Here is a 22,414-nt window from a genome sequence, read left to right as displayed (position 1 = left end):
GTTCAAATCCAGATCATTAGCTCATCATTTTTATTGCTTCTCATTCTGTTAAGCGGCAAAGGGGGAAATATTTGTTTTGACTAGTCCTTCACTGGAAAGTTTTGGACTTCTGCATTTGAGTCTCTGGGAGCTAGTTTTTCCAGTTGTTTTATCAGAGAATATATTCATCTTTGGGTTTTAAACACTTCAAATATCACTGATCATGGTATAGAACTTCTCTGTGACAGAGTGGTAAGCACTTACCACAAATGTTTTGTGATTTGTGATAAAGATGATTTAGGGAAATAATTCTGGTCTCCCAAAATATGAGACAACTATTAACAAAGCATTTTTGTTTTAGGTTTGGATTTTCTTTCCCTTATTCCAGTTGATCCCCAGGTATGTATCCTGAATTTAAGCAACTAATTTGTATTTGATTGTTGGTTATGTCATACTAACTAAAAATGACCAGTTGCATAAAATCAGGACAGTCATCTCTGAATTACTTACATTGATGGAAAGGAAGTACTGTGCAAATATTTCACAATTTTATTTGAAGGAATAAAGTTGTTTTCAGTTTATGATTTTTGTCTTTAATATCTAAATTTTAAATTCTGTTTTATTTAGCTTAATCAGTTGGCATCTCCTACAAGCATTTGAATGATTAGAATGAATAGAAGCAGTGCTGGGTGGCTAGAAGTTAAAATTTTACAAATACAGTTTTATTTTTTAGCTAAAACATTCTGTATATAGAAAATCAATAGCTAAACCTGATTAGACAGACTTGACTCATTAACTTGATTCTTCATTGTTTTTAAAGACATTCAGATTTGGACTTTGGGGAGGCCCCAGTTTAAAGTTGCTATATGTCAATCATCCCCGTTTTCTCTGTCAAAGATGAGAAACCCTAGTAGCTCGGTGTCCCAACATGAAGACCTTGCAGTGAGCCTGGATTGCACAGACAGGCTTATAGCAGAGGCAGAGCAGAGGAGGAGAAGGCATGAGAAAAGTGAAGGGAGAAAATGACATAGAACAAAAGACTTTGAGAGGAGTTGAGTATAGGGAGGGATAGAGGAAGAACCACGGGTCACTGCTTCATGGGCTGCTCAGTCAGCTAAGCACAAGTCCTGTATCAGCCTCCTGTTTCAGTACTCTGTATCTGATTACATGAACAGCAGCAGAAATTTGGGCCCAAGGTAATGTGCAGACTGAGGAATTTCTTATCATTCGGAGTTGACCTCATTACAGCAGTATATATAACGAAGGTACCTAGTGAAAGTGTCTATGTATTTTTCTAGGAAATGGATTCTTCAGATGTGAGGATTACTAATTTTTATGTGACCAGTTCTTTTAAAAAAAATTATCTTGGAACCTAGAGGTTTTTATTTCATAGCTCTGTTTTGTATATTTAGTAGTGGTCTAAGTTATTTGGTGAGTCAGTAGTAGAAGGGTGATGTGGGGCCTTCAGTTTGCCATAGAATCCTTAGGTTTTACTACTTGACCTCCATATTATCCCTTAATTCTTGTCATTGTAGCTACAATTAGGGATGCAGGGTTAGAACTTAAGTGGCTGCAATCTGAATACTACTAAGAATTCAACGCACAGAGCCTGTTGATGGCAGCACTGTAGCATCTAGCACAACTTTCATGAATGAGTATCTTTTTCCTATAAGGCAATCAAAAACTACCTGAGAGGCAGCAGGAATAAAATGTAAGTTTCTGGGCTTTGTTCTAGATTTACCCCCCAGTTTTAGTGGAAAGTTAGAAATTGATTTGATTTTAGAAAAGAGTTTTAATACTGGACAATTCAACCATCTTTAGAGCTCCTTGGAAGCTCTTTAAGAACTGTTCTCCCTGTAACTAATGTCCCTTGACTCTGTATGTGGCATTCATTTTATTGATGAACCAAAACAGTTATCTATCCAAAGCATTAAATAACTTGTTCTTTTGAAGAGCAGTCTGAATTTTACTTGTTGCTGTCCCTCTGGCTGGCAACTTAAACCTGGGACTGTTGTTCCTGTTTTATTCACCGGCCTTGGAAATCATGTAGTCTAAACAACTTGACTTAAATTCCTGTTCCATAATCCAGTGTCTCTAATGATAAGCTGCATAATCTTTAGAATGGGGAATATGAATCAGATATCCTTACTGATCTTTCATACAGTTGAACTAATGACAAACTTAAACCATCTCTTGCAGGATATCACTAGACCTCTTGTTTTACTAAAGTCAGTGCAGTCGTTTCTCACATAAAAATATTCTATACTGATATAATGCTTTTGGCTTGTCTCTCTTCACTCCTCTGTTAATATTAGAGTAGTACATTCAGGTTTGTACTTGTTTGGGATCAGTAATGGGATCAGTAACCAGGATTGTAAGGGGACTTGTGAAATATGAGCACTAGGAAAGGGGTGTTAAGCAGGCATCACGAGAAGATTAGGTTAGATCTTCTTTAACATTTATTGCAAAACTTGGTGATTACCTGAGATAATTTTCTGTCCTGAGGATCCTGTGATAGCTAGCTACCGTGTAGTCTGTGTTTTAGAATGAATGTTGTCATTCTGATGACACAAGTATTTTACGTTTATGTACAAAGGAGTCCAATGCCATCATTCAGCTGGTCAGCCTTAACATTCATAAAGGATCTGTTTGATACTCAATCCATACCGGGAAAGGCTAACAAATACTTTTAAAAATGTTATTAAGCAAAAATGCTGGTGTAAGATCAACAATTCTTTCAAAATTGACACCCAACTAAATACAGTTAGGGAGCAAATTCTTTTTGAGATTAGGGCCAATATTTAGTATTAAATGACTTCAGTTATTGTTGACATTGTACTTTTACCTTTGTATGTGGTCAGCAAACAAGTTCCACAAGTTTAGAGAGAATCAAGAATATATGCTGCATTCTCTAAATAATGTAAAATAGCTAAATTCATGCTATCTTCCACCCAAAGATGTGAAGTTTTGAGCAATTTTTAAATCCCACTGGGATTTAAATATGTGACTATTGCTTGTGCATATCTAATAATTTCTAGTCTCTTTATTTAAAATCAAGTAGCCTCTTCCTCATTGGCATCATTGTTTGTTTCAAGCAGTACTGTCCTCCTATGTTTTTGGATAGTCTCACCTCACCCTTAACAGCAAGCAGTACGTCTGTCACCACCACCAGCTCCCATGAAAGCAGTACTCATGTTAGTTCATCCAGCAGCAGGAGTGAGACAGGGGTCATAACCAGCAGTGGAAGTAACATTCCTGACATCATCTCATTGGACTAAAGGAGGACTCACTTGATTCTGGGAATCATTCATCAGAACTGCTTTTTCTTGGATCTCTAGTCTGTGGAAACGTTCTTTTTTTTTTTTTTTTAATAATTTGGTATTTATTGAAAGTCAGATGGATTCTTTTGCTTTCTGAGGGGTGAACACAGAAGACTGCAACAAGAACCAAATGACATGCAAGGATTTTTCTTAATTATGCTGTACTCTCAGCATCAGATACATTCAACCATAACTGTATCTTCCTGAGAGATGGATTTCACTTTCATACGTTAATGGATGGAGTCTACAAATCAGTGAAAAAAGTTTTTGTTAAAATAAAGAGCAATAAAATTATGTAAATATTCAAGTAACCTTTTTTCTAATTAAAAAAAAAATTGTAATCACTGATTCTAGAATGACAGCAACTTCTGTTTAACCTTACGTGAAGGAAAAAAAATATATGGAAAGAACTTAATGTTTGCTGAATGAGTCCTTTCCATGGAGATTTGCTCTGTTTCATTGAAGTAATGAAGTTTCAGTACGTGGCCAAAGCTTGGATTCCACTTTTCGTCCTGCATTTCCACTTTTCTTCGTGATTGCATCAAAGAAAAATGGCATTCGTGTTACTTGGTTTTTTTCCTGCTTATCATTTACACTTTGACGTTGTTTGCTAATGAGTGCTGTGTGAAGTTCTGGGATTTGGCTACTCTTCATTGGTGATTATGTTTAAAAGCACTATGCAGATTCTGCCCTGACATAAAGTGTGTTATTATGTTTTTAGTAATTGTACATTTTTCATTCTAGAGTTTTCTATAAATTTGAGGCTTGCCTTCTCAAAAAAGAAACTATGCAGCCATTGAATGAAATGTCTTTGGGGTACGGTGTGACTGGAATGTTTGTTAGAAATTTGTTCACACTATCAAATATTGATATCTTGGAGCCAGCAGAAGAGCAGATTTTGGGAGGTGGTAATAACAAAATTTAATTTCTTCCCAACAACTTAATTTTCTCATTTATTTTACAGAATAGTAGTGAAATATTTGATGAAACTTTGTATTTTGGTAGCACTACATAGAAAATGTGTTTTAGATTTATGATGATCATATTTCTCACCAATGTAATTTCAGTCTCAGCAGTGATTTTCAAACTTAGGGAAAGGGACAGCATTAGATTTTTTTTTTTTTTCATTTTTTTAAAATGATATCTTACCTGAAACTACAAACGACAAAAGAGAATTAGAAATGTTTGAATTAAAGTGAAGAAGGGTTGGGGGAGATGGGCCTGAACCCACTTCCTGTCTCAATCCATGCTACCCCAAACACTCCAGGGAACCTCTGAGGTTTTATTGGGTGCACTTTGAAAATTTCTCTTCTATAGTGTGTTTGTTTGATTTTAAATCACAGAGAAAACTGGGTTTTACTCTTAGAGAAACATTTTCATCCAGTTTTTTAGTTTGCTTCATTTGACTTCCTAAATCATTTTTGAGTTCACAAGGATTTGGTACTTTTCTGTTTAGCTTTCTCTCTCTAAGCTTTATCTACCTTAAAAACAAAGTCCTTTTTTTAATGGCCAGTCCAACCAATTGATTTCTCAAACTGAAGTGCCCAGGTGTGGACTCATCAATTTCCGTTAGAATAGGGACATCCTACTTAAGAGTTGGTGCAGCTCCAAGGAGCTGACTTGTCCTTGCTTGGGGTTTTTTTTTTTTTTCTTTCACCTTCTCAAGTTTCCATGGCCTTTGTGTGTTCTTTTTATGTTGATTTAAATTCATATGGTTTTCCACAAATCCCTTCTTTGGCTACATTGTCTCCTTATTCAATGGATTATCCCTTTGTGGGGGCTGCTTATTTTAAAGATGTTGGGGGGGAAACAAACCCAAATCTACGAGCAGTAGTTGCACATAGTTGCCAGTTTTACCTTCTTAGTCATTAGATTTCCAAACCATGTTGCAGTTTTTTGGTCCAGATATAGTATTTCTTTCTAATAAAGTTTTATGTTGCTGCTCTAAATACAGATGCAATATTTATTGACTCTGTAATCAGATAGAAAAAACTTAACTTGGTTTGTGTGGTATGACTTATAAAGAAATGATGTATATTTGTTATTTTGTTACCCTTTAGATTGTCAGAGACTCCCCCAATTTAATCAACAAAGTTTTATAAAGTAAATGAAAATATTAATAGAAATTAGTTTATTTACTTGGTTCTTATAACTGATATCTCTGTGCTTTTATAATTGTGATTTGTTTTTTTGTTTTTTTTTCTATTTTCTGTGAACAGTTTTAATGTTCGGTTTTGGTGTTTTACACTGAAATTACATATAAATTTTTAATTTATTTCATACAGGCAACTTGCATTTTAAAAAATACACTTTGAAGTTTATCATCTTGAAATTGGGGCTTACGTTGTTTATCTGTCTTGAGCATTAGTACTTTATGACTTTGGCCTTATGGCAACATCATGATTATTAATCCGTCAGCCTTTAATGTGGTCACTGTTTCTTATCCAGACCCTGACTTTCTAGTAGTTTATTTTGCTAGCCCAGATTTCTGCTTAACCAAATATAAGGGAGTTTCAGAGGGGTGATCTTAGCTGTCACCTAGATTCTGTCAGCCAACCAGTGATTGTCTGGAATATCTTAGGAAATGAACTGTAATTGTCAGCCTCCTAAAATCAATTTTTTTTTTTTTTTTTTTGAGGCTGAGTCTTGCTCTTGTTGCCCGGGATGGAGTGCAATGGTGCGATCTTGGCTCACCGCAACCTCCACCTACAGGGTTCAAGCGATTCTCCTGCCTCAGCCTCCCGAGTAGCTGGGATTACAGGCATGTATCACCACGCCCAGCTAATTTTGTATTTTTAGTAGATACGGGGTTTCTCCATTTTGGTCAGGCTGGTCTCGAACTCCCGACCTCAGGTGATCCGCCTGCCTTGGCCTCCCAAAGTGCTGGGATTTACAGGCGTGAGCCACCGCGCCTGGCCAAAATAAAATGTTTTTATCTTTCTTCACTTAGAACTATGAAGGCCTTTTCTTGTTCTGGTAACCCCCCACAGTGTAATTGGTGCTGAAAATAGTTTCGTGCCTGAGGTCTGTTGTCACTCACTCACTTTCTGACAATTAGGTGAGCCACTTGAGGATTTTCTGGCCTGAAGTTATAAAAACTTGGCATCTGTCCTAAGGTAATTGTAAAGGCAAAATGAAAGCATTGAGGTGAATTTAGGTTATATGGCATTTATCTGGTAATGTGTTTCAGAAAAGCTAGAATGAAAATGTGATGTAAGGGATAGCAAGTGTAGGTTGATTCATAATTCTTGGTATAAAACCAAGTTTTCCTTAGTCTTGAGGAATTTGAAGAAAGGTAAAATGTTGGATTTTAAGCAAAGTAGGATTGACCAGAGACTGTTCTGACTTTGACATTCAGACCTTTCAGATGTTCTTCCTTCAGACCAGTCCAAGACACTCAGCATTTCCAGCCAAGTTGTCTTTTTTTTCTGCCAATAAAGTATTCATTAGTTGACGTTTGTTTGTATTTTAAGTAAAGTCAATTTTTTTTAAAGCATTAATTTAATTCACGGGTATGCCTTTCATTTCTCTGGCCTTCAGTTGGTTTAAAAAAAAAAAAAAAAAAAAAAGCACTTAGCCGGACCATTCTTTCTTTAGTAAACATTTTTATTTTCTTAATTTTTCCTGAAAGATTTTCTTCATTTTCATGGAATGTCATAATGACACTACCATTATTTTCTAGCTCTTTGCATAATAGAAAAATGTAGAGCAGTGCACCATTTAAACACGTCTGACATTGGATTTAGTGGTCCTAGGTTCATGTGATTTGGGAGCCTTAAGTTGTTATTTAGATTGATTCAGCCTGATTCACCATCTTTTTTACTACAGTTCTACATGAATGTGGTGAAACAGGTAGAAGAAAATTAAGCATTTCTCTGCTTTTGGAGTCTAATGTTCCTGCCTAGTGACTGGTTTGTAACACCCCCCTCACCCCTACTTTGTTAGGAACCTGCAATTCCTAAAAGAAATAAATAAAGCTGTACCCAATGTCCATTCTTTAATGCTTGCCTGGTTGAATAATGTTTGTTTTTTCTGTTTATGTCAGTAGTACATGCTTATTGTGGAAAATTTAGACAATACAGAAAAGTATAACAATTAATTGCCTATGATTCTGTCACCAGAAAAAATCACTTGATATTTTTGCATCTTCCTTGCCATTGTCTTTGCTACTTCTGCATATTTTTACTTAGTTTCATCATTCTCAGTGTAATTTATATCTTGGGGTTTTTCCCCGCAACCTACAGGCATTATTCCATGTCATTAAAACTGTGTCAACTATTATTAATTTTATGGTACTCCATTGTTATGGATGTGCCATGTTTCATATAACCTTTACTTATTTTGAACAGTTTAGATTATATCTCATAATGCCACAATGAATGTCTTTGTGTATAAATTATTTTCTTAGGATAAAATACTGGAGGTGGAATTTCTAGTCAAGGGTATATGAACACTTTTGTAGTTCTTGATTCATACCACTTTTCCACATGGGTATGTTAATTTATACTGCAGCTAGATGGTATGGGAAGGGTGGTCTAGCCATATTTTCCAAGAACATGCAACGTTTTATCTTTATGCAGGCATCTGCACTAAGACCCTCTGCCTTTCTGACTCTATGGAACGGGGTTAACTGATATGGAGATCATTGGCAGAGATTTTCCCAAGCTTTCTTAGTTTTAAATATATCTGACATGGGCCGGGTATGGAGGCTCACGCCTGTAATCCCAGCACTTTGGGAGGCCAAGGCGGGCAGATAATCTGAAGTCAGGAGTTGGAGACCAGCCTGGCTAACATGGAACATGGTGAAACCCCATCTCTAGCAAAAACATAAATTAGGTGGGTGTGATGGCAGGCGCCTGTAGTCCCAGCTACTTGGGAGACCGAGGCAGGAGAATCGCTTGAACCCAGGAGGCGGAGGATTTGCAGTGATCCGAGATTGTGCCACTGCACTCCAGCCTGGGTAACAAAGCAAGACTCTCTAAAAAAAAAAAAAAAAAAAAAAAAAAATATATATATATATATATATATATATATAAAATCTGACATGTTTCAGAAACACCTACGTATGGCTATCCAAGCTTTTCCCATGATTTTACTGGCACTGTAAAGTTGCACAAATATTCTTTGTCAGACTACGTTTTCCATCTTTAGTTCAAAAGTTTTGTCACTTTTTAAAAAAAGCCTCTTGTACCTAAGGCCTGCCCTTAAGAGGTCAGCTCTCTTTTTCCTCTTCCTGTAGGCCCCATTATGGCCTTTCTGAGCTCCCCAAAGCCAGTAGAATCTACTGAGCCAAAGGCATTCCATCCCCAAACTGAAAAGTGGTAAGGCTAAAAGCTATAAAAACAGGCAAACATTGCCTGTTTTCACTTTATATTCCCTTATGTTTCCAATAAGGGTAGCTGCAGGGAAAGAAAAAAACAGATTGCTACCTTCAGATGTTTGAGGTACAACATTTTCTTGATTGGCGTAGCACAATCATTTCCCAAACTGCTTCCTATTTCTGAATGGCTTTTTTAAAAAGCTTTATTTTGTGTTCTCAAAGCTTAATTATTTTAAGTGACGAAGAGTGTTACCGTGTTGTAGAATAGCATATGCCTCTTATTTTGGCCTTCATCAAACTGTTTAATAAATGTTTAGAGTGTTTTGTAAGTACACGTGGAATAGAGTGTTACAGAAGTTTTGGTTCCAGACATCAGGCAGCTTATAATCAAGGTTCCAAAAATCAAGAATTCTTAAGCTGGGCATGGTGGCTCATGCCTGTAATCCCAGCACTTTGGGAAGCCAAGGCAGGCAAATCACTTGAGGCCAGGAGTTTGAGACCAGCCTGGCCAACTTGGTAAAACCCCATCTCTACTAAAAATACAAAAAATTAGGGCATGATGGCTCATGTCTGTAATCCCAGCTACTTGGGAGGCTGAGGGATGAGAATTGCTTGAACCTGAGAGGCGGAGGTTGCAGTGACTCAGGATCATGACCCTGTACTCCAGCCTGGGTGACAGAGTGAGACCAAAAAAAAAAAAAAAAAAAAAAAAAAAAAGTAACAGGCATTGTGCAAAGAATTTTCCAAGAATGTCTCATTCTTGCAATGGCTTCTCAGAGGAAAGTGGTGTTATTCCCCATTTTACAAATGAAACAGGTTTAGGTAAGTTTCCCAAGGTCACAGTGAATGAGTAGTGGACTTGGGAGTCTGACCTAGACTTACCCCAAAAGCTCTCTGCGTAAACTGAAGTGACGTTAATTAGCTGTGCTATCTAGGAGACTGATATGGGAATCTAGACTTAAAATTATGAGAACTGGTTTCAGATGATGGCCAGAGTAATAAGGAAGGAGTGGATGCTGAAGCCATTTCAAAGGAAGACTCAAGATTCAGTGACTGAATATAGGAGTAAGGGTTGAGTGCATTTTTCATCCATTTTTCAAGCCTGGGTAACTTGGATGTTAATGGCACTATCTACAGAGACAGGAGGCAGTTTAGAGTGAAGACGAATCATGTATGGGAGACAGTGATGAATGTTAAGCATGGGATTTCAGAAATGAAGCATCCATGAGGCTCATTCCTGGTTTTTCTGCAGTCTTTTAAATAAAAGTACAAACCTCCCTTGTCATCCATTTTTGCCTTCACTTATCTCCATTCTGTATTATGTTCTAGTCACGCCCCAGTCACTGATCCCTTCCTAGGCCATACTTGGCTACATCTTAGCCTTTTCTTTTGATTTTTCTCTTCACTGCCTTGCCCATTACAAATTTGGCTGCCACCTGAGGCCCTGCCATACCCTACAGCTCACACCAGCGTGGGCTGTGTTCACATTCTACATATCTCAAGATACAGTGGTTGCTGTCCTTCCCCCCTACTGCATCGTTACACGTCTCTAAAAAATCTCTGCCTCTGAAGCTCATGCCAAGAGGTTATACTATCAGCTACCTCTAGTCTTATAACTGCCTGATCATTCCCTTTGATTTGCTGGAAGCTTTGACTCACAGTGTTCCTTGCCTTCCTTGATTCTGGTCATTATTATTAATATCTTGAACATTCTATAGATGATTTATCCAAGTTGGTCTGTGAGGTATTGGTTACTTTACCTCCAGCATTTTCGTCTACTGAACCACGCTTTCTGTTTTCCTCTTTGCTACTTGTCCAGACTGTTCTTTCATTATTGCAGCCTTGAAGAAATCCTCAGTAACCTATCCATCCTCCGACATGACGTAGCATAGTTCCTTTGCCCATTCTCATCAGTTATAACAAATGTTATTGCCCTCTTTTCAGGCCACTTCCTTCTCAGAAGATGACTTTGCTGCTTAATTCAAACAGAAGGGACAGTCCGAAAGCATGATTTCTTCCCCACCTATGACCACCTCCATCCTTTTTTGTTTCCAGTTTCAGAGAATGAGGTAGGCCTTTAAGGCCAACTGACTCTGGTCTCCTCCTGTCATCTTCAGGACCTTCCTCTGTCAGACTTCCCCTCTCTTATCTCCATGTCTCTCACCTCTCTACTGCTGCTTTTCTTGGCTTACAAATGGTCTCAGTCATCCAGTATTTGAGATTATATTAGGTGCCAGGCATTGTATCAGGCACTTGGAACACAAGGCAGGATCCTGCCCCCACCAAAGTTGTGCTCCAATAGCGTCAACAGAGGTGTGAAATAGGGAGATTACAATGTTAATGGTAAAAGACAAAGTATAGGGTGCTACAAGAGCATGTAAATGAGGCACCTCAATGATTTAATAGAAGTAATGTGGAGAAATGTGAGGATTGATGAAAAGCTTGTCCAAAAAGGGCCAGAAATGTTTAGAATTGCTGGAAGTTTGCTAAGGAATATTGAGAAATATGCATAGATAGATCGTGAAGGGCCTTGTAAAACAGTGATGAGACATTGAAGAGTTTTCATGATCATTAGTAGTAATGAGAATTTGTTGAGTTTGGCATGATTATCTCCATATTACAAATGTGGAAACAGATTCTGACAGGATAAGCGACTTACTTGCCCAGGGTCATGCAGCTTGTAATTGAGGAGTCAGGTTTCAAATCCAGTTTTAACTACTTTCTCAGAGGCCTTTCTTGATCATTCTATCTAAAAAGCAAGTGTTCCCTAACTATTATCCCAGTACCCTGGTTTATATACTCTTAATACATAAAATAATCCCTGCATATTGTGTGTTTCCCCTACTAGATTGTAAGCTCCATGAGGGCAGAGGTGATAACTTTTTTCACTTGCATCCCAGAGCCTAACATGATATGGGCTACATAGAAGGTGCCCAGTAAATATTGGTGGATGAAGAAATGGTGGATAACCATTTGCATTTGACTTATGCTGACTGGAAATTCAATACCTTTGGAATATATAATACCTCAGCAGTAAGCATTCACCAAGAGAGGAAAACAGAAGGAGGTGCATGTTTAGGGTAGGTGGTACGGGAGATGGATGCTGAGGTGTTGAAAGGCAGCATACTCACCTTCTGAACTCCAAAACTTACAGGGGCAAGGGCCATTAATGAGGGGTGGGTAGAGCAGTGCACAGTGGGGATAATATGGGAGTAGGTGTATTAAACCTGGAAGTGTAAGCAACTCCTTGTAGACCCACCCTACTGTGTATAAAAGGCTGGAGAAATTCTTCATATGATCTACTCTAGGTTATGTACTGAGGACCACCTTATCTGGGTCAGGTACACTACACAGAGTGCTACAATATAATTGTAAACATAATTTATCCTCACTGTGATGGCTAGCCACCTGACCCAAATCATTATTAGACTCAATACTTTGGAACTGGAACAAAAATCAGTTGACCTGATGTCTGAAAGACATGCCCACCTGCTATTTGACAAGCTATAGACATATCCTACCAATTGATGGGTAGTAGCACTGAAACTATGAAAGTGGATGAACTCATCCAGAGGAGTTGATGAGTGAGAAAAGAAGACTGGAAAAGGAACACAAGGAAATCAAGAAGCAGCAGCTGAGACTGAAGGAAAATAACGTGGTATTACAGAGGCCAAAAAATAGAGTATTTCAAGAAGCAAGTGGTTAGTGGAGTTAAAAGCTGCTGATACAACCTAAAAAAGTAAGTATCCATTTTTTAAAAAACTTTCATTTAAAATACCACCATATTTTATTGAATCTAAGTACCTGATTGTAAGACATTAAAGAAAAATTAAACCTGCTAATTAAACTATGACCCATTGCTTTCATTGGTCAATGAAAATACTTCAATATGTATCCTATTAAAATGTAGGAGAGGGAGGAATATGAATCTTATAAATGAGGAATTATAATTTTTGTCTTCCTTTGGCTTTCTTTTTTTTTTTTTTTTTTTTTTTTTTTTTTTTTTTTTTTTTTTTTTTTTTTTTTGAGACGGAGTCTCGCTCTGTCGCCCAGGCTGGAGTGCAGTGGCGGGATCTCGGCTCACTGCAAGCTCCGCCTCCCGGGTTCACGCCATTCTCCTGCCTCAGCCTCCCAAGTAGCTGGGACTACAGGCGCCCGCCACTACGCCCGGCTAATTTTTTGTATTTTTAGTAGAGACGGGGTTTCACCGTTTTTTAGCCGGGATGGTCTCGATCTCCTGACCTCGTGATCCGCCCGCCTCGGCCTCCCAAAGTGCTGGGATTACAGGCGTGAGCCACCGCGCCCGGCCCCCTTTGGCTTTCTTAACCAGGCCGTATCGTAATTTCATCAAGAACAATTTCAGTGGAGTGATCAGGGTCTACCTAGTTTGTGGTGGGAGAGGACCCCAAAGTAAAGAAATGCAGTAGCACGTATGGGCAACTGTTTAAAAACTGTTAACGAAGGGCAGAGCTACAGCAATAGAATTATATGTGGTTGAAGGATTTTTTTTTTTTTTTTTAATGCGGAGCCTCTCTGTTGCCCAGACTGGAATGCAGTGGTCTGATCTCGGCTCTCTGCAACCTCCACCTCCTGGGTTCAAGCAATTCTTCTGCCTCAGCCTTCCAAGTAGCTGGGATTACAGGCACGCATCACCACACCCAGCTAAATTCTGTGTTTTTAGTAGAGAAGGAGTTTCACCATGTTGGCCAGGCTGGTCTTGAACTCCTGACTTCAGGTGATCCGCCTGCCTTGGCCTCCCAAAGTGCTAGGATTACAGGTGTGAGCCACTGTGCCTGGCGTGTTTTGTTGATGTTGTTGTGTTTTTTTTTTAGTGGAAGAAACTTGAATTTCATGTTTAACTGCTAATAGGATAGTGAGATGGAATCAGTAGAGGTAAAAATGCGGGAGGTTCAGGAGGGGTTGACTAAGATCATTGGTACACCAAGGTTCCTGAACAGGAGGAGGAAGTTGGGATCCAGATCAAAGGCAGATGAAGGGATGGTTGTGGACATAGGCATGTGTGTCATTTGAACAGCAGAGAGTTAAAAGAGTTACTTAGTGGTTTGGCTTTCATGTCTTTGAGAACCATATGATTGATGTTATTGGTTCCAGAAGCAAGGAGGAGGTAAGGATGATGTATGAGTATAACAGCTAGTTTGAAATAGCAATCCTGGAGAATTAGAGAATGGACTAGCGGTGAGTTGGACACCGTAGACTTACAGTGATAGCTAAATGGCAGTGCTTTCTTCAGTAATGCCCATTGTCGAAGCCATAGTTGTGGAAGCAGTCAAAGGTTGGATTTATTCAGGGTGGGTTTTGTCACATTGGCGCAACAGAGTGGCTCAGGTAATCTCCTAAAGTCGCTGGCAAGTAGTTTACATGCTAGAATCTCAGCTGCCATCACACTCCTGGAATTATTTTTGTTGAAGTCAAATGTACTCCTAATTGCCAAGTCTCTTGGACTTGATTTTTACTAGTTTCAACATCTGCAGTTGACACAGTCTCTTCCATTTCTTGGCTATTGTGCCAACATGTCTTTTTCTGTCTTTGGGAACTCATTTTCTTCTCTCTGCCCTGGAAATGTAGGTGTAATCTTGCCAGTCAGTGGCATTTCCCCCAGCCACTTGACCTACACTCCTTGATATGCTCAACTATTAATATTCCACTAGAATGTAAGTTCCGTGAGGGCCAAGATTTTTTGTTTTGCTAATCGAGTGTCTAGAACAGTTTTTACTTACAACTTAACTATGCCATTATATTTGAAGTTACTTTCTTATAAGTTTGTGTGTGTATATGTATATATTCACGTTCCTTTGTGTGTTTATACATATATATGTAAAGTACATATGTGTATAGCTATATGTACATATGTATACATGTATATATGTGTATATATACACAGTATGCAGGTTGCTGTGTATGTGTATATATATATATACACACATGTAAAGCTTTACATATATAGCTTTACATATATGCTGGGGCTGCCTTTACAAAGCTGCACAAATAGGGTGTCTTAACAGAAATGTATTGTCTCAGGATCTGCAGGCTACAAGTCTGAAACGAAGGTGTCAGCAGGGTTGTTTCCTTCTGAGGCCTCTTAGGGAAGAATGTGTTGCAGGTTTTTCTCATTGGCTTGTAGGTGGCAGTCTTCTCCTTGTGTCTCTTTATATAGTCTTCCTTCTGTGCATGTTTGTCTCTGTGTCCAGATTTCCCCTGTTTGTTAGGACAAGAGTCATATTGGATTAGGATCCACCTTAATGACCTCATTTAATTAGATTACCCCTGTAAAGACCTTATTGCCAAGTAAAGTCACATTCTGAGGAATGAAGGGTCAGGATTCCAACATACACACATATATATATATATATGTATATATATATGTGTATATATATGTATATATGTGTGTATATATGTATATATATATGTGTGTGTGTGTGTGTGTGTATATATATATATATATTGCCCCATTGGTGAGACACATTTCAACTCCATAACACATATACAGTTCACCCATTTAAAGTGTATGGTTTATTGCTTTTTTTAGTATTTTTCACAGCATTGTGTAATCATCACCACGATCAGTTTTAGTGCATTATTCTTACCCTAAAAAGAAACTACATACCCATTAGCAATCACTCCCCATTCATTGCACTACACTTCCCAACACTAGGCAACCACTAATCTACTTTCTGTTTCTAGGTATTTGCTTGTTCTGAACACTTCATATGGAATCATGTATGTGGTCTTGTGACTGGCTTTATTCAGTTAGCCTAATGTTTTCAAAGTTCATCTATGCTGTAGATGTATCAGTATTTTATTCCATTTTATGGCCGAATAACAACAACATTGTATGGATATACCATGCTTTGTTTATTCATTCACTAGCTGGTAGACTTTTGGATTGTTTCCACAGTTTGGCTATTATAAGTGATGCTGCTGTGAACATTGATGTACACGTGTTTGTATCCATATGTTTTCATTTCTCTAGGTTATATACGTAGGAGTAGAATTGATGGGTCATATATAATTCCATGTTTAACATTTTGAGGAACTGCCAGGCTTTTCCAAAGTGGCTGTTTACCGTTGTAAATTACCCCCTGCAATATGCGATGGTTCCAGTTTCTTCAATTCTCACCATTTGTTACTACTATTTTTTATTACAGCCAGCCTAGTGGGTTGGAAATATTATCTGATTATGGTTTTGATTTGTATTTCTCTAATGATCATTTATCAAATGATGTTGAACATTTTTTTTCATGTGTTTATTGGTCATTTGTATTTTTTTTCTTTCTTTTTTTAGAGACAGCGTCTCACTCTTTCACCCAGGCTGGGGTGCAGTTGCATGATCTCAATCACTGTAACCTCCACCTCCTGAGTTCAAGTGATCCTCCCACCTCAGCCTCCTGAGTAGATGGAACTACAGGTGCACACCACCACACCTGGCTTTTTTTTTTCCACCATGCCCAGCTAATTTTTTTTTTTAATTTTTTGGTACAGATAGTTGCCCAGGATGGTCTCAAACTCCTGGGCTCAAGTGGTCCGCCCATCTCAGCCTCCAAAAGTGCTGGGATTACAGGTGTGAGCCACTGTGCCCAGCCTGGTGATTTGTATATTTCTTTGGAGAAATATGTATTCAGATCCTTTGCATATGTTTTAATTGGGCTATCTGACTTTATTATTTAGTTTTAAGAGTATTTCATATATTGTAGATAAAGGCCCTCATTAAGAAATACAAAGTTGCAAACATTTTCTCCCATTTTGTGGATTGCCTTTTCACTTTCTTGATACTATCCTTTGAAGCACACATAAATTTTGATGAAGTCTCCAATCTGTCTTTTTCTTTGTTGTTCATGCTTTTGGTTTTCTATCTAAAAATCCACTGCCAACCAAATTCGAGGTCATGAAGACTTACCCTCATTTTTTCTTCCAAGAGTTTTATAGATTTTAACTCTTACATTTAGGACTTTGATCCAATTTGAGTTAATTTTTGTATAGAGGATGAAGTCTGTTTGTAGACTTATTTTTTACATGTGGCTTACCAGTTCCAGCACCATTTGGTGAAAAGATATCTTTTTTCCATTGCCTTTGTTCCTTAGTCAAAAATCAGGGCCAGATGCAGTGGCTCGTGCCTGTAATCCCAGCACTTTAGGAGGCTGAGGCGGGCTGATAACTTGACATGAGTAGTTCGAGACCAGCCTGGCCAACATGGTGAAACCCTGTCTCTACTAAAAATACAAAAATTAGCCAGGTGTGGGGGTGTGCGTGCCTGTAGTCCCAGCTACTCAGGAGGCAGATACAGGAGAATCACTTGAACCTGGGAGGTGGAGGTTGCAGTGACTCGAGATCATGCCCCTGCACTCCAGTCTGGGCAACAGAGCGAGACTCCATCTCAAAAAATAAAACAATTTTAAAAATTTAAAAAAAACTAGTTGACTGTATTTATGAGAGTCTATTTCTAAGCTCTCTTTTCTGTTCCATTGATCTGTTTGTCTCACCTTTTGCCAATACTACACTGTTTTGATTACTATAGCTTTATGGTTAGTCATGAAGTCACGTAGAGTCAGTCCTCAGACATTGTTCTTCTTCATTGTTGTATTTGTAGGAATCCACAAAATAGCTTGCTGAGATTTTGACTGGAACTGTGTTGATTCTATAGATCAAGTTGGGAAAAACTGACATCTTGATGATATTGTCTTCTTATTCATAGACATGGAATTGGAATATCTCTTCTAGTTATTTAGTCCTTTGATTTCTTTCATCAGGGTCTTATAATTTTCCTCATGTAGATCTTTCCTCATGTAGATATATTGTGTTAGGTTTATACCTAAGTATTGCATTTGGTAATGAAATACTAATGTAAATGATGCCAATGTAAATGATACTGTGTTTTTATTTCAAATTCCAACTGTTCATTTCTTATATATAAGAAAGCAATGGACTTCTATATATCAGCTTTGTATTCTCCAACTTTGCTGTAATCATTTATTAGTTTCAGAAGTTTCCCCATCAATTCTTTTTGATTTTCTTTATAATCGTAATAATCATGCCATCTGTGAAGAAAGTTTCATTTCTTTCTTCCCAGTCTGCATACCTTGTCTTATCTTACTGCATTAGCTAAGATTTCCGGTATGATGTTTAAGTATATTAGTCCTTTTTTATTGCTTACGTGGTTTCTGAAGAGAAGTACAAAGTAATTTTTATTTATGCCCCTGTATAGGTAGAGTGTTTTGTTCTTCTGGATTCTTTGAAGATTTTCTCTTTGTCTGATTTTTTGCAGTTTGAATATCATATGCCTAAGTGTAGACTTTTTTGGTATTTACCCTTTTTGGTGTTCTCAGAATTTCTCGGATCTGTGGTGTGTCTATCACTAATGTTGGGAAATTCTCTGTTATTATTTCACATATTTCTTCTGTTCCCTTTCTTCTCCCTCTAGTATTCCCATTTGTGTATTACACTTTTTGTAACTGTTCCATAGCTCTTGAATATTTTGTTGTGCATTTTTTCATTTTTCCTCTTCGCATTTCAGTTTTGACAGTTTTTACTGACATTTGTTCAAGTCCATCAGCTCTTTCCTCAGCTGGGTCCAGTCTGTTGATGAGCTCATTGATGGGATTCTTCGTTTGTATGATGGTGTTTTGATTTCTAGCTTTTGCCTTTGACTCTTCTAGTTTTCATCTGTCCTTGCATGTTGACCACTTTTACACTAAGTGAAAATAGACTAAATGCTCCAGTTATGAGACAAAGATGATCAAATATTAAATAATATACTATTTATAAAAGACATAAAACATAAGAATAATAAATGTTGAAATTTAAAAGATAGCAAAAGCTACACTGAGCAAATTGTAACCTAGAGAATTCTGATGTAGTTGTATTAGTATCAAACAAAACAGCCACAGAATTATTACTAGGTAAAACCATCCTAAAGTTATACGTGGCCGGGCTTGGTGGCGCATGCCTGTAATCCCAACACTTTGTGAGGGTAAGGATGGCTTGAACTCAGGAGTTTGAGACACCAAACTCAACAAGGATAGTATGAAAAAGAAAAAATGTAAGCTAGTATCACTGATAATTACAGTTATAAAAATTTGAAATACTTGCAAACTGAATATGAAGTTTTAAAAAGGATAACAAAATACTGATTTGTTGGATTTATCCCAGGAATTTAATGATGGTTTTACCTCAGAAAAACTGAATGCAGGCTGGATGTCATGGCCTGTCTCCAAAATTAAATAAATAATTAAAAATAAAAGTGAATGCAATGTTTTGTTAATGGATTAATGTAGTTAAGAGATAACCCTCATCAGGTAAGAAAATTCGCTCCTATTCCTAGGTAAATGGATGCTAAATTGTATCAAATGCTTTTTCTGCATTTATTTTATGATTTTACTCTGTAGACTGCCTCCTGCTTTGAGTAAGATAGTTCACATCTGTAATCCAGCATTTTGAGAGGCCAAGGCAAGAGGATCGCTTGAACCTAGGAGTTCGAGACTAGCCTGGGTAACATAGGGACTCTGTCTCTGCAAAAAATTTAAAAATTAGCTAGGCATGGTGGCACATGCCTGTCGTCCCAGCTACTTGGGAGGCTGAGGTGGGAGGATCACTTGGGCCGGGGAAGTCGAGGCTGCAGTAAGCTGTGATCAGGCCACTGCACTCCAGCCTGGTTGACAGTGAGACCCTGTCAAAAAAGTTTCCTCCGAAGTTACCAGAAAGAGCGAAAAGACTGACTATATGCTGTGAGGAGATACTTGGCAACATTCATCATACAAAGGACTAGAATTCAGAAAATACAAAATCTTCCTGTGAATTAAGAGACAGACTATAAAAATTTTTTAATATATATTTTTTTGAGATGGAGTCTCATTGTCACCCAGGCTGGAGTGCAGTGTCGCAATCTCGGCTCACTGCAGCCTCCCACCTCAGCTCCCCAAGTAGCAGAGACCACAGACACGCACCACCACACCCGGCTAAGTTTTTGTATTTTTGGTAGAGACAGGGTTTCACCATGTTGCCCAGGCTAGCCTCAAACTCCTGAGCTCAAGCAATCTGCCCGCCTCGGACTCCCAAAGTGCTGGGATTACAGGAGTGAGCCACTGCACCCAGCCAGACTACAAAATGTTAAATGGGTGAAAGACTGAACAGGCAATTCACATAGGAGGTATCTGAAAATCTTCGTAAATGTAAAAAAATATTTAATCTCAGTACAGGGAAAAACAGAAACAGATGCCATTCCACACTTTTTTGTCTGAGTTGTATGACACATAAAATTTACCACCAACCATTTTAAAGTGTACATTTCAGTCATTACACACTTTTAATTAAAATCTAAAAGCACTGAGAATGCAGGACAAAGGGAACTTTAATTCACTATGGTAGAATAAGCATAGCTATTTTGGAAAAGTTTGGCATTATCTAGTAAATTTATACATGTGCACACCCAGTAGACCCAGCAGTTTCATCAAGAGAAATATATGTAGGTTTTGCATCTATAAAATAAAGCTACATGCTGATTATAAAAAAATTGGAGATAGTGGTTGTTTCTGGGGCAGGGAAGAGGATGAGCCACAGAGAAAGACTTCAAGGTCCTGGCAACATTTTCCTTACCTTGGTGGTGATTACAAAGATGTTTTCCTTATTCTTCAAAATATACATGGTTATGTACATATTTTATATGAATGAACCAGTTTTTACTTTAAAAATAACCCTATTATCATCTGAACCCTCCATCAATACTTCTTGTCCTCATTTTTTAACATTCTCCCTTTATTCCAGGCACCCTAGCTTCCTTGCTGTTCCTCAAATACTCTGAGCATGACCCCACATCAGGAGCTTTTACCCTTGTTTTTTTTTTCCTCTTAGAATGCTTTTTCTTCCAGATATCTACATGCTTTGCTCCCTCATTTCTTTTAGGGCTCTACTCAAAAGCCATTGAACTAGTATTAGTTTCTGTCACAAATACCAAGACAACCCAAGCTGTCAGTGGCTTAAATAATCTAGACATATATTTGTTTAGAACTTTGCTATCCAGGGCTGGTAAAAAGGCTCTGCTCCATCGTCTTACGGGACCCTGGTTCCTTTTGGCTTACTGCTCTGCCAGTCCCGGGACATGTTTTCTGTCCTTATGGTCTAAGGTAGCAGCATTCACAAACCAAGCAGCAGGATGGAGGAAGGGAGGAAAAGGAGGGACAAAGGCTAATCCTCCTCAGAAAGGTTCCTGTAAGTTGCAAATTGATGCCTACCTCTCATTGGCAGGAACTTAGCCCTGTGGTCTCAGCAGCTGTAAGGGAGGCTGGGAAATGCAGTCTTTTTTCTGGATTGCCATGTGCCATGCTCACATTCTCCTGCTTTATAAGATGGGAAAAAAAGATATTGTAGGACAAGCATCAGTCTGCCATAGTTGTCTTCACAGAGAGCTCTTACCTGAGTACTCTGACCCAAAGAGCCTCCTATACTCCTTTTTCCCCCCTCACACTGGGGGGAAACGTGTGAGGGGGGAAAAGGAGTGTAGGAGGCTCTTCATTGAATTTGTCACTTTCAGACAATGTCTATTATCTGTGTTCCTGGACAGGTAAGCTCCTGAGAGAGGGACTTTGCTGTGTTCCTTCCAGGAGTCTTAGCATCTAGAGCAGCACCTGGCATGTAGCTGGTGCTTGATTGTCGTTGAATATGTTTTCATCCCATTATCCACATCCTTCAGCTTGCCAGCTCTTACCTTTCTGATTCCAATTTGGCCATCCTTTCCTCTAGGACAGTGGTTCTCATTAATTGTGCACCGTGACAACCAGTCAGAAATGCATATTTTTGGTTCCCACCCCAGACCTATGGAACTAGAACCTCTGGGGGTGACCTAGCAGTCTGGGTCTCAGTATGCTTTATATACAGCGATCTGTATTTTAAGCAACCCTGAAAGGATCCTGATGCCTGTTTAAGCTTCAGAACCACTGCTCAGACTTTAGTTTGCATCGAAATCCCCTTGAGGGCTGGTTTAGTAAACCTGGCATGGGATTTCTAACAGGTTCCCAGGGGATGCTAATGCTGCTCTTCAGGGACCACTGTTTTAGGGCATGAGAGGTTCTAATGTAATTAGACTGGTTTGTGGTCTGGGGTTGGCAATCTTTTAAAGTCTCTCCAAATGTTTCTAATACATGGCCAAGGTTAAGAGCCACCTCTCCAGGAACACTTTCCCATCAGTCCTGCCCCTCCCCAGCTCTGGGTCCTTGCCTCTGTCAGGAGCTATCTTAGCAGCATGTGCTTCCCTCCATTGTGGCAATTATCTCACTGCCCAGCAGAGGCAGCTTATCTGTCTCCCTCACTAGGTGGTAAACCTTCTCTGGGCAAGGAAAGACTGGATTCTTCTCTCCTTTACCTCAGTGTTTTTATAGGTGCTTAATATTTGTTGATTGGATTAGTCTAATACATGGACCGCCTCCAACTCTTAGAAGCAAACGTAAACAGGATCAGCTAATGTGCTCACCAGATGAAGGACGATATTCTCCTTTGATACTGAGAAGTGCAAAGAAAGACAAGTGTTCTGTGGTTTGGGATGATGTTTCTGGAAGGAGAATGGAATGGAAGCTGAATCAGATGTTCCACCTCACTCGGAATTGAAATTAAGATTTTTGAGCAGGGTCTAGCAGGATAGTGAAGTCATTGTTAAGAGCATGGGCTCCGTGGCCAGACTGCCTCAGTTTGAATTCTGCCGCCTTTTCTGTTGCTTGTATGATCTTGGCAAAGTTACTTAATTATTCTGTATTCCAGTTTCCTGTTGTGTAAAATGAGGTTAATCGGAGTA

General features: G+C 38.6%; 1 protein-coding gene and 1 long non-coding RNA gene across 16 annotated transcripts in view, besides 2 other annotated features; one reads left to right on the top strand and one right to left on the bottom strand.

Moving 5' to 3' along the window:
• The window catches only part of PIAS2 (protein inhibitor of activated STAT 2), a 116,928-nt gene extending 104,456 nt beyond the window's left edge, over window positions 1-12,472 (top strand). For 8 of the 15 annotated variants that reach the window (NR_136684.2, NR_148700.2, NR_148701.2 and 5 more), the window contains 2 exons: window positions 341-378; window positions 3,078-12,472. Coding sequence is in view for 10 of the 15 variants with exons in the window: in NM_004671.5 (NP_004662.2) it covers window positions 341-378; window positions 3,078-3,257 (218 nt within the window). In the remaining 5 variants the exon portion in view is untranslated. Of the gene's footprint in view, window positions 1-340; window positions 379-3,074 lie in introns of all 15 variants that reach the window. The other 7 variants (NR_148702.2, NR_148703.2, NM_001354034.2 and 4 more) reach the window with 2 other exon arrangements.
• ST8SIA5-DT (ST8SIA5 divergent transcript) overlaps window positions 15,132-22,414 on the bottom strand; it is a 45,010-nt gene continuing 37,727 nt past the window's right edge. The window contains exon 3 of the long non-coding RNA XR_001753434.3: window positions 15,132-20,966. This is a non-coding gene — a long non-coding RNA (ST8SIA5 divergent transcript). The remainder of the gene's footprint in view (window positions 20,967-22,414) is intronic.
• Window positions 19,492-19,621: an enhancer, noted in NCBI's record as "active region_13281". NCBI's record gives its function as "activates an Ori minimal core promoter by ATAC-STARR-seq in GM12878 lymphoblastoid cells {active_cell/tissue: GM12878}" and the evidence as "EXISTENCE:reporter gene assay evidence [ECO:0000049][PMID:35858748]".
• Window positions 20,573-21,074: an enhancer, noted in NCBI's record as "NANOG hESC enhancer chr18:44374579-44375080 (GRCh37/hg19 assembly coordinates)". NCBI's record gives its function as "activates a minimal SCP1, AML or CMV promoter by ChIP-STARR-seq in naive H9 embryonic stem cells {active_cell/tissue: H9 hESC(naive)}" and the evidence as "EXISTENCE:reporter gene assay evidence [ECO:0000049][PMID:30033119]".

This window comes from Homo sapiens, chromosome 18 (genome assembly GCF_000001405.40).
Source record: "Homo sapiens chromosome 18, GRCh38.p14 Primary Assembly".
NCBI lineage: Eukaryota > Metazoa > Chordata > Mammalia > Primates > Hominidae > Homo > Homo sapiens.
The sequence above is the reverse complement of the archived record's forward strand: the minus strand, read 5'-3'. Positions and strand labels throughout refer to the sequence as shown.